This window comes from Homo sapiens, chromosome 1, assembly GCF_000001405.40.
Source record: "Homo sapiens chromosome 1, GRCh38.p14 Primary Assembly".
Classification (NCBI taxonomy): domain Eukaryota; kingdom Metazoa; phylum Chordata; class Mammalia; order Primates; family Hominidae; genus Homo; species Homo sapiens.
Genome location: NC_000001.11, coordinates 67,174,786 through 67,189,817, shown reverse-complemented (window position 1 = coordinate 67,189,817; position 15,032 = coordinate 67,174,786). Strand labels below are relative to the sequence as shown.

At 40.6% G+C, this 15,032-nt stretch overlaps 1 protein-coding gene across 4 annotated transcripts in view; it reads right to left on the bottom strand.

The window, feature by feature from the left end:
- IL23R (interleukin 23 receptor) overlaps positions 1-15,032 on the bottom strand; it is a 127,267-nt gene that overhangs the window by 76,086 nt on the left and 36,149 nt on the right. For all 4 annotated transcript variants that reach the window (XM_011540790.4, XM_011540791.4, XM_047447227.1 and 1 more), the window contains exon 4: positions 6,859-6,982. In XM_011540790.4, the coding sequence (XP_011539092.1) occupies positions 6,859-6,982 (124 nt within the window). The remainder of the gene's footprint in view (positions 1-6,858; positions 6,983-15,032) is intronic.

Below are 15,032 nucleotides of genomic sequence, written 5' to 3'. Positions count from 1 at the left end.
CTGGCTAGTTTTTGTATTTTTTGTAGAAATTTTTATATTTTTTGTATTTTTCGCCATGTTGCCCAGGTTGGTCTCAAACTCCTGAGCTCAAGCAATCCACCTGCCTCAGCCTCCCAAAGTGCTGGGATTACAGGCATGAGCCACTGCGCCCAGCCCTCTTCTCTAATTTTTTTCAACTCATTAGTTTGTTTGTAACTAATCATTAGATAAATAGGTGTTTGTTTCCTTTTCTGACCTGTCTATATTTATAAGTTAGTCCTTTGACTTTTCTAGAGGAGAACATTCACTTTTATTCTAACCTTTTATATCTTTTATGTCCTGTTTAGAATGTAATAAAATCCCATTAATCTGGCCTCCATCAATTCAGAACTTGGTTAGGTTTATCAGAGTTTGGTTATAGTTTATTGTTGGATTTTAAGAAAGAAGATGGGAAAAATAATTTATAAAATATATATGACCTTATATTATTACTTAACTAGACAGTGAAGGGGAGATTCAGGAAATGTCTATTTCTAGTTATCAACTAGAATAATTACTCAACAAATATTTATTGAGCATTTACTATGTGTCAGGCCCCATTCTAGATTCAATCAACATAGCAATGAAAAAATCAAACAAAAATTCTTGCCCACATTAAGCCTACATTCTAGTTTGAATGAATAAATGTACTATTGACATACAAAAAATAAGTCTTTCTATTAGAGCACATGCAACATCTCTTTCTAGATTTTTCCAAAATTATTGTATTACTTAAAAATATATGAATAAAATTATCTATAATATCCTATAAATAATAATTTTTATGGCTTTACATTAATATTTCCCTCAATCAAATCGGTCAGGTTTCCCTTAGGCCATAATATTATAATATCCTTTGCTATAGTCTGAATATTAGTGTACCCTCAAAATTTACATGTTGAAACTTAAACCCCAATGTAATAGTATTAAGAGGTGGGGCCTTTAGAAAGTGGTTAAGTCATGAGGGCTTTTCCCTCATGAATCAATTTAGTGCCCCTATAAAAGAGGTTGAAGGGAGCTGCCTGGCCCCTTCTACTATGTGAGAACATATAGAAGTCACCATCTATGAAGAACAGACCTTCAAAATCTGTTGACACTTGATCTGGGACTTCCTAGCCTCCAGAACTGTGAGCAACGAATTTCTGTTTTTTACAAATTACGCAGTCTAGGTGCTTTGTCATAGTCACCTGAAGGGACTAAGACATCATTTTGTGTTGTACTTAATTCTAAGCATTTCCTATATGCAAGTCACTTCCTATAATTTGCTTTTTTATAAGCTTTGTGGCATTAATTATCCTCATTTCACAGGAGGCTGAGGCTCAGCAAGGCTAAATAACTCTTCTAAGATTACACAGCTAGCAACTATGGCAGATACTGTTGGATGACGGTATCCAACTCCATTTACAATGCCCTTCTGCCAGGTTCCCATCCAGACAGAGTAGACATGTGACACTGTTGTGGCCAACTCAGTGTAGGTCGAAGTCCACAGGAGGAACTCCTTTGCTCTTTACCACTTTTCCTGCCTGGAACTTGGATAAGAAGCCTGGAGATACAGCATCTGAAGATTAAGGTCAACACACTGAAGATGGCAGAGTAGAAAGAGGAAAAGAGCCTAGATCCCTGGGGTATTACTGAATTATCATGCCATCTGTTACTACATATAATTATGACCTGATATAAATAAGTCCATGTCTATTTAAGTGACTGCACTTGAGTTTTTTTATTTTTCTTTTATTTTTTTGTTTTTTGAGATGGAGTCTCACTCTGTAGCCCAGGCTGGAGTGCAATGGCATGAACTCAGCTCACTGCAACCTTCACCTCCCAGGTTCAAGCGATTCTCCTGCCTCAGCCTCCCAAGTAGCTGGGATTACATGCCCTGCTAATTTTTGTATTCTTAGTAGAGATGGGGTTTCACCATATTGGCCAGGCTGGTCTTGAACTCCGGACCTCAAGTGATCCATCTGCCTCAGCCTCCCAAAGTGCTGGGATTACAAGCGTGTGCCACTGCGCCTGGCCAGCACTTGAGTTTTCTGATATTTGTATCATAAAAGACACCTGACTGGTAAGTTTCAGAACTGGAAATTAAATCTAAAACTCTAAAGCCCATGCTCTTCCCAATGAATATTTCTGAAAGCATTCTCTTTAGTAAACTCATTCTTAATACTTTCAGAGTGACTTTTTGAGTACTGAGAACAATCTTAGTACTCATAACTACTACAAATATTCCTTACTTTATAAAGTGAATGTGTTCCTCAAAAGTCATGTGTAAATAAATGTAAACATACATAATTTTGAACACATTAAAGGATTTTAAAAGAAATATATAATACATAGTCATATAAAATATTCAGAAAATATTTTTATGATACTAAATAGGAAATTAGGTGGGGGTTAGCAAGTTTAAAATTGTATCCAACAAATATATTTTTTCAAATTGTGGTTCATCTGTCTGGAATTTGCAATGCAGTTTTACTATCAGGAACCTCAGAAGGCAGGTAAGTCAGGCTTGAAAGAATTAACCTGCATCCACTAGGATGGCAATAACCAAGATAAAAACAAAGGTTGGCAAGAATGTGGAGATACTGGAACCCTTATACACTGTTGTTGGGAATGTAAAATGGTGTGGCTGCTTTGGAAAACATTATGGCAGTTGAACAAAAGATTAAACATAGAGTTACCAAGAGACCCAGGAATTCTATTCCTAAATATATGCCCAAGAGAAATAAAAATATGTCTACACAAAACGTGTACACAAATATTAATAGAAGAATAATTCATAATAGCTGAAAAGTGGAAACAACCAAAAAGTTCATCAACCAAGGAATAAATAAATAAAATGTGTTCCAAATAATGGAACATTATTAAAAAAAGGAATAAAGGGCCAGGCGCGTTGGCTTATGCCTGTAATCCTAGCACTTTGGGAGGCCAAGGCAGGAGGGTTGCCTGAGCTCAGGAGTTCCATACCAGCCTGGGCAACATGGTGAAACCCAGTCTCTACTAAAATACAAAAAAAATCAGCTGGGCGTGGTGGCGTGCACCTGTAATCCCAGCTACTCAGGAGGCTGAGACAGGAGAATCACTTGAACCCAGGAGGCAGAGGTTGTAGTGAGCCGAGATCACACCATTGCACTCCAGCCTGATACATGTTACACCATAGATAACCTTGAAGACATTATACTAAATGAAAGAAGCCAGTCACAAAAGACCACATATTATATGATTCCTTTTACATGAAGTGTCCAGTGTAGGCAAATCAACAGAAACGGAAAGCAAATAGTGGCTGCCATAGACTGGGAAGATTGAGGGGAAATAGGAAGTGACTGCTCATGGATGTGATTTTTTTTTTGGCATGATGAAAATGTTCAATATTGATTGTAGTGATGGGTGCTAAAACTCAAGGAATGATATACTTTAAATAAGGTGAATTGTATGGTAGATGAATTATACTTAATAAAGGGTTATATTAAAAATAAAAGAAAGAATGAATTAACCAAACAACCAGGATAAGCAGTTCAGGAGATCCTTCCAGGTTCTGGGAGATAGTGAAGATCCTCAAGACACTAGGCTATCTCTGTCAATCTGGCACTGCCTGGTTTTTCTGTGTGCTTGAAGTGCAAAGTTTGCTGCCATACTGCCCTCACCTTCACATTCCTAAAGTTGACTTAGCAATGAGACTCTAGTTGTCTTGCTCTCATGGCTTTTCTACTTTACCCTATAGGCAAGGGGTAGAGGTTTAGTCTCCAGTGGTGTAGCCAGAGAAATCCCTGTTAGAATCCCTGCTCCTTTACTTCTTAGTCAAGTGACTTTGGAGAGGTAATGTGAGCTCCCCACGCCATCTGTAAAATGGGAACAATAACGATAGTTCCCTCACAAGGTTAAGTTGAGAATTGAAGATGTCATGCACATGAAGTACAGAGCACAGTACTTAGCATATTGCATCTCTTCAATCAATTCCACCCATCCCTGATATCAGAGTTTTCATCACCTCTTTGGTACCAGAATATGCCTCTGTTTAACTCCTGTTCAGAATGAAAGGTGTACGCCTCTTGCCAATGGCATGTAGCTGGTAACTCTAGGCCTGGCAATGTGTTCATAAAATCTGTCTAGTTTCTACGTGGACTTTCTTGACTGATGAGGTGTTTCTTTTTAGGTTTCACTTAATCAAAATTATTCTGAGTATCCAAAAAGTGGAGAGAGAGAGCAAGATTAGGTTATTCTCTTCCATAGAGATCAGGCTTGGTGGCTGGGAGAATTGCTTGAAACCCAGGAGGCAGAGGTTGCAGTGAGCTGAGATTGTGCCACTGCACTCCAGCCTGGGCGACAGAGACCGTGGCTCAAAAACAAAAACAAAAACGAAAACAAAACAAAACAAAAACCCTATAAATAAATAAAAAGATTTTTTTTAAAAAGAAGGTTATTCCCTTCCATAATGATGAGAACTGAGTAGAATATCTTAAATATGCCCTGCGATCTGGTCCTCCACACACCTTCAGCAGAAAATAAGTTGAGAAGACAGTCAGGCAACCTATGTTCAAATTCCACCTCTCCTTCTCTGCAGCTGTGTGGTCCTGGATACATTCATTACCTGACCTCACTAAGTCTCAGTTCCCTTGTCTATACAAATGGGAAAAATAATTGTATGCAGCTGTCTTAGTCTCTTTGAGCTGCCATACAAATACCTTAGACTAGGCAATTTATAAACAACAGAAATTTATTGTTTACAGTTCTGGAGGCTTGGAAGTCCAAGATCAAGGCATCAGCAGATTCAGTGTCTGGTGAGGGCTCACTCTCTGCTTTACAGACAGCACCTTCTGGTTGTGTCCTCACAGGGTAGAAGGGCAAACAAGCTCTCTTTCAGGCCTCTTATGGAAGGGCAATAATTCCATCCATGAGGGCTTTACCCTCATGACCTAATCTCACTTCAAAGGCCCCAACTCTTGTTACTATTGCATTGGGGGTTTGTTTCAACATATGAATTTTAGGAGGATATAAGCATTTGTATGATCCCAGGGCTTCACATGGTTGTATAGGGTATTAAATGAGGCAGCATTTATAAAGCTCTTGGCCCAGTGCTTGGCAAACAGTAAGGGTCCAATAAATGCTTTACAAAATGGTTTGTGAAATTTTTAAGAATTAGTGACAGAAAAAAAAAAGCATACTTCAACAACACCACAGAAGGCTTATTTTATTTTATTTTATTTTATTTTATTTTATTTTATTTTATTTTATTTATTTTATTTTATTTATTTTTTGAGACAGAGTTTCCCTCTTGTTGCCCAGGCTGGAGTGCAATGGCACGATCTTGGCTCACTGCAAGCTCCTGTCTCCTGAGTTCAAGCAATTCTCCTGTCTCGGCCTCCCCAGTAGCTGGGATTACAAGTGTGTGCCACCACACCTGGCTAATTTTTGCATTTTTAGTAGAGACGGGGTTTCACCATGTTGGCCAGGCTCATTTCAAATTCCTGATCTCAGGTGATGCACCCACCTCAGCCTCCCAAAGTGCTGGGATTACAGGCGGGAGCCACCGCGCCCAGCCGGCATCTTATTTTATTTATTATTATTTTTGAGATGGAGTCTCGCTCTTTCGCCCAGGCTGGAGTGCAGTGGCGTGATCTCAGCTCACTGCAACCTCTGCCTCCTGGGTTCAAGCAATTCTCCCTGCTTCAGCCTCCTGAGTAGCTGGGATTACAGGCGCCCACCACCACGCCCAGCTAATTTTTGTATTTTTAGTAGAGATGGGGTTTCACCATGTTGGCCAGGCTGATCTTGAACTCCTGACCTCGGGTGATCCACCAGCCTCAGTCTCCCAAAGTGCTGGGATTACAGGCATGAGCCACTATGCCTGGCCTGGAATTTTATTTTTTAATAAACTAAACAAAACAAGAAACACGGATAAGGTAAGCAACTTGTCCTAGTTTGCCCACAACTTTCCAGGTTTTAAAACTGAAAATCCTTTGTCCTGAAAACCCCCTTAGTATAAGGCAAACAGGAAAGTTGATCAGCTATGTAGACACTAAATTTAAGATCTGAGGGTCATTATTAACAATAGCTTCCATGAATTTAGTGGTAATATGGCATAATTATATACACTTTAAAAGCCAAATTCCACATAATTAATTAGAACAAACCTGTGTGTTATGTTTTATTTTTAGGCCCATTTAAAGATTAAAAATAATAGCAATTCGGGGAAATTAAGTTGTTGAAACCCTAGAAGAAGAATAGAGCAGGGATTTAAGCAATAATTTATTATTTTATTTTATTTTTTGAGATGGAGTCTTGTTCTGTCGCCCAGGCTAGAGTGCAGTGGCACAGTCTCGGCTCACTGCAACCTCTGCCTCCTGGGTTCAAGCAATTCTCCTGCCTCAGCCTCCTGAGCAGCTGGAATTACAGATGCCTGCCACAATGCCTGGCTAATTTTTGTATTTTCAGTAGAAACCAGGTTTCACCATGTTGGCCAGGCTGGTCTCAAACTCCTGACCTCAGGTTATTCACCCACCTTGGCCTCCCAAAGTGTGGGATTACAGGTGTGAGCCACTGTGCCCGTCCTAAGCAATGGCTTAAAACTGTGCTAGGCTGTACCACCATTAGGAGCCTGCTACCAGTTACCTACTAATGAATAAAAAGGACAGAAAGATCATAGAGCACTTTGCCTGCCAGAGTGAAAATATTAATGGCTTGAAAAGGGCTTTGGTAGTTTCACTGATCATAAGTAGGAAATAAGGGATAAATCAGGGTATATATTTAATGTTTGAGGCTGATTTCTTGGATCTCTGCTGGAGGCAGAGCTCTGGCTGAACTGGGGTGGAACTGCTTATATGAAGCCGTGAGGAAGTGACCTACCTCTTCACATGTACCACGTATTTTGTGTCTATGTAGGTGAGCTTCCCAGCATTCCAGGTGCAAGTCATGTTGCCTGAATATTCATAAATGACACAGGTTACTTCATCAGGAATATCTGGCGGATCTGCAACAAAACATAACACTTAGGAGGTGCTGTAAGAAATACGAAGTTCTCTGGTCCCAAGCCAAGATGGCTGAATAGGAACAGCTCCAGTCTACAGCTCCCAGCGTGAATGATGCAGAAGACGAACGATTTCTTCATTTCCAACTGAGGTACCGGGTTCATCTCACTGGGGTTTATCAGACAGTGGGTGCGGGACAGTGGGTGCAGTGCACAGAGTGTGAGCCGAAGCAGGGCGAGGCATTGCCTCACCCGGGAAGTGCAAGGGGTCAGGGAATTCCCTTTCCTAGCCAAGGAAAGGGGTGACAGATGGCACCTGGAAAATAGGGTCACTCCCACCCTAATACTGCACTTTTCCGACAGTCTCAGCAAATGGCACACCAGGAGCTTATATCCCATGCCTGGCTCAGAGGGTCCTATGCCCATCAAGCCTCACTCATTGCTAGCACAGCAGTCTGAGATCAAACTGCAAGGTGGCAGCGAGGCTGGGAGAGGGGTGCCCGCCATTGCTGAGGCTTGAGTAGGTAAACAAAGTGGCTGGGAAGCTCGAACTGGGTGGAGCCCACTGCAGCTCAAGGAGGCCTGACTGCCTGCCTCTGTAGACTCCACCTCCGGGGGCAGGGCATAGCTAAACAAAAGGCAGCAGAAACCTCTGCAGACTTAAATGTCCCCGTCTGACAGCTTTGAAGAGAGTAGTGGTTCTCCCAGCACACAGCTTGAGATCTGAGAATGGACAGACTGCCTCCTCAAGTGGGTCCCTGACCTCTGAGTAGCCTAACTGGGAGGCACCCCCCAGTAGGGGCAGACTGACACGTCACATGGCCAGGTACTCCTCTGAGACAAAACTTCCAGAGGAACAATCAGGCAGCAACATTTGCTGTTCACCAATATTCGCTGTTCTGCAGCCTCCACTGCTGATACCCAGGCAAACAGGGCTGGAATGGACCTCCAGCAAACTCCAACAGACCTGCAGCTGAGGTTCCTGACTGTTAGAAGGAAAACTAACAAACAGAAAGGACATCCACACCAAAACCCCATCTGTACATCACCATCATCAAAGACCAAAGATAGATAAAACCACAAAGATGGGGAAAGAACAGAGCAGAAAAACTGAAAATTCTAAAAATCAGAGCGCCTCTCCTCCTCCAAAGGAATGCAGCTCCTCACCAGCAATGGAACAAAGCTGGATGGAGAATGACTTTGACAAGTTGAGAGAAGAAGGCTTCAGAAGATCAAACTTCTCCGAGCTAAAGGAGGAAGTTTGAACCCATGGCAAAGAAGTTAAAAACCTTGAAAAAAGATTAGACGGATGGCTAACTAGAATAACCAATGCAGAGAAGTCCTTAAAGGACCTGATGGAGCTGAAAACCATGGCACGAGAACTACATGATGAATGCACAAGCCTCAGCAGCCAATTCGATCAACTGGAAGACAGGGTATCAGTGATGGAATATCAAATGAATGAAATGAAGTGAGAAGAGAAGTTTAGAGGAAAAAGAATAAAAAGAAATGAACAAAGCCTCCAAGAAATACGGGACTATGTGAAAAGACCAAATCTATGTCTGATTGGTGTACCTGAAAGTGACAGGGAGAATGGAACCAAGCTGGAAAACACTCTGCAGGATACTTCCCCAGAGTAGGATCCAGGAGAACTTCCCAAATCTAGCAAGGCAGGCCAACATTCAGATTCAGGAAATACAGAGAACGCCACAAAGATACTCCTCGAGAAGACCAACTCCAAGACACATGATTGTCAGATTCACCAAAGTTGAAATGAAGGAAAAAATGTTAAGCACAGCCAGAGAGAAAGGTCGGGTTACCCACAAAGGGAAGCCCATCAGACTAACAGCGGATCTCTCAGCAGAAACTCTAAAAGCCAGAAGAGAGTGGAGGTCAATATTCAGCATTCTTAAAGAAAAGAATTTTCAACTCAGATTTTCATATCCAGCCAAACTAAGCTTCATAAGTGAAGGAGAAATAAAATACTTTACAGACAAGCAAATGCTGAGAGATTTTGTCACCACCAGGCCTGCCCTAAAAGAGCTCCTGAAGGAAGCAATAAACATGGAAAGGAAAAACCAGTACCAGCCACTGCAAAAACGTGCCAAATTGTAAAGACCATCGAGGCTAGGAAGAAACTGTATCAACTAATGAGCAAAATAACCAGCTAACATCATAATGACAGGATCAAATTCACACATAACAATATTAACCTTAAATGTAAATGGGCTAAATGCTCCAATTGAAAGACACAGACTGGCAAATTGGATAAAGAGTCAAGACCCATCAGCGTGCTGTATTCAGGAAACCCATCTCACGTGCAGAGACACACATAGGCTCAAAATAAAGGGATGGAGGAAGATCTACCAAGCAAATGGAAAACAAAAAAAGGCAGGGGTTGCAATCCTAGTCTCTGATAAAACAGACTTTAAACCAACAAAGATCAAAAGAGACAAAAAAGGCCATTACATAATGGTAAAGGGATCAATTCAACAAGAAGAGCTAACTATCCTAAATATATATGCACCCAATACAGGAGCACCCAGATTCATAAAGCAAGTCCTTAGAGACCTACAAAGAGACTTAGACTCCCCACACAATAATAATGGGAGACTTTAACACCCCACTGTCAACATTAGACAGATCAACGAGACAGAAAGTTAACAATGATATCCAGGAATTGAACTCAGCTCTGCACCAAGCAGACCTAATAGACATCTACAGAACTCTCCACCCTAAATCCACAGAATATATATTCTTCTCAGCACCACACCACACCTCTTCCAAATTGACCACATAGTCGGAAGTAAAGTACTCCTCAGCAAATGTAAAAAAACAGAAATTCTAACAAACTGTCTCTCAGACCACAGTGCAATCAAACTAGGACTCAGGATTAAGAAACTCACTCAAAACTGCTCAACTACATGGAAACTGAACAACCTGCTCCTGAATGACTACTAGGTACATAACGAAATGAAGGCAGAAATAAAGATGTTCTTTGAAACCAACGAGAACAAAGACACAACATACCCGAATCTCTGGGACACATTTAAAGCAGTGTGTAGAGGGAAATTTATAGCACTAAATGCCCACAAGAGAAAGCAGGAAAGATCTAAAATTGACAACCTAACATCACAATTAAAAGAACTGGAGAAGCAAGATCAAACACATTCAAAAGCTAGCAGAAGGCAAGAAATAACTAAGATCAGAGCAGAACTGAAGGAAATAGAGACACAAAAAACCCTTCAAAAAATCAATGAATCCAGGAGCTGTTTTTTTTGAAAAAATCAACAAAATTGATAGACCACTAGCAAGACTAATAAAGAAGAAAAGAGAGAAGCATCAAACAGATGCAATAAAAAATGATACAGGGGATATCACCACCGATCCCACAGAAATACAAACTACCATCAGAGAATACTATAAACACCTTGATGCAAATAAACTAGAAAGTCTAGAAGAAATGGATAAATTCCTGGACGCATACACCCTCCCAAGACTAAACCAGGAAGAAGTTGAATCTCTGAATAGGCCAATAATAGGCTCTGAAATTGAGGCAATAATTAATAGCCTACCAACCAAAAAAAGTCCAGGACCAGATGGATTCACAGACAAATTCTACCAGAGGTACAAGAAGAAGCTGGTACCATTCCTTCTGAAACTATTCCAATCAATAGAAAAAGAGGGAATCCTCCCTAACTCATTTTATGAGGCCAGCATCTTCCTGATACCAAAGCCTGGCAGAGACACAACCAAAAAAGAGAATTTTAGACCAATATCTCTGATGAACATCGATGCAAAAATCCTCAATAAAATACTGGCAAACCGAATCCAACAGCACATCAAAAAGCTTATCCACCATGATCAAGTGGGCTTCCTCCCTGGGAGGCAAGGCTGGTTCAACATATGCAAATCAATAAACGTAATCCAGCATATCAACAGAACCAATGACAAAAACCACATGATTGTCTCAATAGCTGCAGAAAAGGCCTTTGACAAAATTCAACAAGCTTCATGCTAAAAACTCTCAATAAATTAGGTATTAGTGGGACGTATCTCAAAATAATAAGAGCTATCTATGACAAACCCACAGCCAATATCATCTGAATGGGCAAAAACTGGAAGCATTCCCTTTGAAAACTGGCACAAGATGGGGATGCCCTCTCTCACCACTCCTATTCAACATAGTGTTGGAAGTTCTGGCCAGGGCAATCAGGCAGGTGAAGGAAATAAAGGGTATTCAATTAGGAAAAGAGGAAGTCAAATTGTCCCTGTTTGCAGATGACATGATTGTATATCTAGAAAACCCCATCGTCTCAGCCCAAAATCTCCTTAAGCTGATAGGCAACTTTAGCAAAGTCTCAGGATACAAAATCAATGTGCAAAAATCACAAGCATTCTTATACACCAATAACAGACAAATGGAGAGCCAAATCAAAAGTGAACTCCCATTCACAATTGCTTCAAAGAGAATAAAATACCTAGGAATCCAACTTACAAGGGATGTGAAGGACCTCTTCAAAGAGAACTACAAACCACTGTACAATGAAATAAAAGAGGACACAAACAAATGGAAGAACATTCCATGCTCATGGGGAGGAAGAATCAATATCGTGAAAATGGCCATACTGCCCAAGGTAATTTATAGATTCAATGCCATCCCCATCAAGCTACCAATGACTTTCTTCACAGAATTGGAAAAAACTAGTTTAAAGGTCATATGGAACCAAACACAAGCCTGCATCGCCAAGTCAATCCTAAGCCAAAAGGACAAAGCCGGAGGCATCATGCTACCTGACTTCAAACTATACTACAAGGCTACAGTAACAAAAACAGCAGGATACTGGTACCAAAACAGATATATAGACCAATGGAACAGAACAGAGACCTCAGAAATAACACCACACATCTACAACCATCTGATCTTTGACAAACCTGACAAAAACGAGCAATAGGGAAAGGATTCCCTATTTAATAAATTGTGTTGGGAAACTGGCTAGCCATATGCATAAGGCTGAAACTGGATCCCTTCCTTGCACCTTATACAAAAATTAACTCAAGATGGATTCAATACTTAAACATAAGACCTAAAACCATAAAAACCCTAGAAGAATACCTAGATAATACCATTCAGGACATAGGCATGGGCAAAGACTTCATGATGAAAACACTAAAAACAATGGCAACAAAAGCCAAAATTGACAAATGGGATCTAATTAAACTAAAGAGCTTCTGCACAGCAAAAGAAACTACCATCAGAGTGAACAGGCAACCTACAGAATGGGAGAAAATTTTTGCAATCTACTCATCTGACAAAGGGCTAATATCCAGAATCTACAAAGAACTCAAACAAATTTACAAGAAAAAAACAAACAACCCCATCAAAAAGTGGGCAACAGATATGAACAGACACTTCTCAAAAGAAGACATTTATGCAGCCAACAGACACATGAAAAAATGCTCATCATCACTGGCCATCAGAGAAATGCAAATCAAAACCACAATGAGATACCATCTCACACCAGGTAGAATGGTGATCATTAAAAAGTCAGGAAACAACAGGTGCTGGAGAGGATGTGGAGAAATAGGAACACTTTTACACTGTTGGTGGGACTGTAAACTAGTTCAACCATTGTGGAAGTCAGTGTGGCGATTCCTCAGGGATCTAGAACTAGAAATACCATTTGACTGAGCCATCCCACTACTGAGTATATACCCAAAGGATTATAAATCATGCTGCTGTAAAGACACATGCACACGTATGTTTATTGTGGCACTATTCACAATAGCAAAGACTTGGAACCAACCCAAATGTCCAACAATGATAGAGTGGATTAAAAAAATGTGGCACATATATAGCATGGAATACTATGCAGCCATAAAAAATGATGAGTTCATGTCCTTTGTAGGGACATGGATGAAGCTGGAAACCATCATTCTCAGCAAACTATCACACCACATGTTCTCACTCATAGGTGGGAACTGAACAATGAGAACACATGGACACAGGAAGGGGAACATCACACACCGGGGCCAGTTGTGTGGTGGGAGGAGGGGGGAGGGATAGCATTAGGAGATATACCTAATGTTAAATGATCAGTTAATGGGTGCAGCACACCAACATGGCACATGTATATGTATGAAACAAGCCTGCACGTTGTGCACATGTACCCTAAAACTTCAAGTATAATTTAAAAAAATTAAATAGATAAATAAAAAGTCACTGGCCAGAAAAGTTGTGATGCAATTATAAACATTGATTGCTTACCTAATCATTAGCTTTACCTGATTAAACTTATCAACTTTTCACTGAAAAGGGAATTTATTTTAAATTAGTATGTCTCAACTTGTCTGAAAAGATAATAAATTTGTAATGGAAGAATAAAAAAAAAAGAAATATGAAGTTCTCTATAGTCCGTTGAGAAACTGACAATTTTATTTGAGAAGTCAGGCCAATCAGTACTCAGCACCTCCCTGCTCCTCATTCCATCCCTACTACCTTACCTTGCAACCCACTTTACCATCAAATATCCATTCCTCTTCTTCTTATACTTGACTATATTATCCTAAATTCAGTCTCCCCCAGCTACTCCTGTATCTTTCTTTTTTTCTTAACAGCTAAACACTTTTAAAGAGCCTATTATTCTTCATTTCCCATATGCATTTAAACCCAAAACAATCAGGATTCAGCCTCCACAATTCCACCAAAACCATTGTTGCTAAGGTCATTGATGACTTTCTCTTCAACAGACCCCATCTCTGGTCATTTGTCATTGAGTTTGAGTTTGATGTCATTGAGCAGCATTTGATATTTTGCTCACTCCCTCCTTGAAAGCTCTCTGTTTTAAAGCTGGGTGTGGTGGCTCATATCTGTAGTCTCAGCTACTTGGGAGGCTGAGGCTGGAAGGATTCCTGGAGCCTAGGAGTTTGAGGCTGCAGTGAGCTATGACCAAGACACTGCACTCCAGCCTGGGTGACACAGTGAGACCTTGTCTCAAAAACGAGACAAGAAAAGAAACCTCTTTGCCTTTGGCTCTTGCGAATGGGTTCTTTGTAGTTTTCTTCTACTACTCTGGCAGACTATCTTCTTCTCTTGCACATTTTCCACTACTCATTTTAAAAGTTGGGTGTTCATACATGCAATAAGATATTACTCAGCCTTAAAAAGGAAGGAAATTTTAACACATGCTACAATGTGGATGAAACTTGAAGACATTATATTAAGCGAAGTAAGACAGACCCTAAAGGAAAAACATTGCATGACCCCTTACACAAGGTATCTGGAAGAGTCAAACTTGTAGAAAGTAGAATGGCAGTTGCTGGGGCTTGGAGGAGAGGGAAGTGGATATTTGTTTAAAGGCTGCAGACTTTCCATTTGCAATAAGAGGGTTCTGGAGATAAATGGTGGTGATGGTTGTACAACAGTGTAAGTGTACTTAGTGCCACTGAACTGCACACTTAACCATGGTAAAAATGGTACATTTTATGTTATGTATTTTACCACCAACACAACAAGGTTTTTTTAAAGTTTGGTATTCATGCAACTCTATTTCAAGGCTCTTTTCCTGTCACTCCACTCAACTCATCCCACCCCCATTCCTGCCCAGCTCTTTCTCCAGGTGGCCATGTTATGGCAAACATTTTTATTTTTCATTGGCTAGCGTCTTTCCCTCTTGAGAACTGACATCCCCTCCAGCCCCTCACTCCAATCTCACCCCCACCCCAACCCCAAGACCTGTCAATCAAGAGGCTCTCCACAGAAGTGTGCCTCTGAGGTAGGCCGACTAATAGGAGTGTGCCTTTGGGAATGAACATATGACTCAAGATGAACCAATCAGAATTCTCCAAGGCACTTTTTCTAAACCACTGTAAAAGAAGCACACTCTTTCCTCCTGAAACTGCTATCTCTGAGTAGCATGTGAGCTGTAAGTTGCTGGTGGCCATCTTGCTGTCATTGTGAAACAGGCTTTTTCACAGTCTTTAGTCTATTTAAGAATGAAGCCAACACAGGGGAAAACAATACCTAGCAGACTGGAAAAGATGAGAGAGTTCT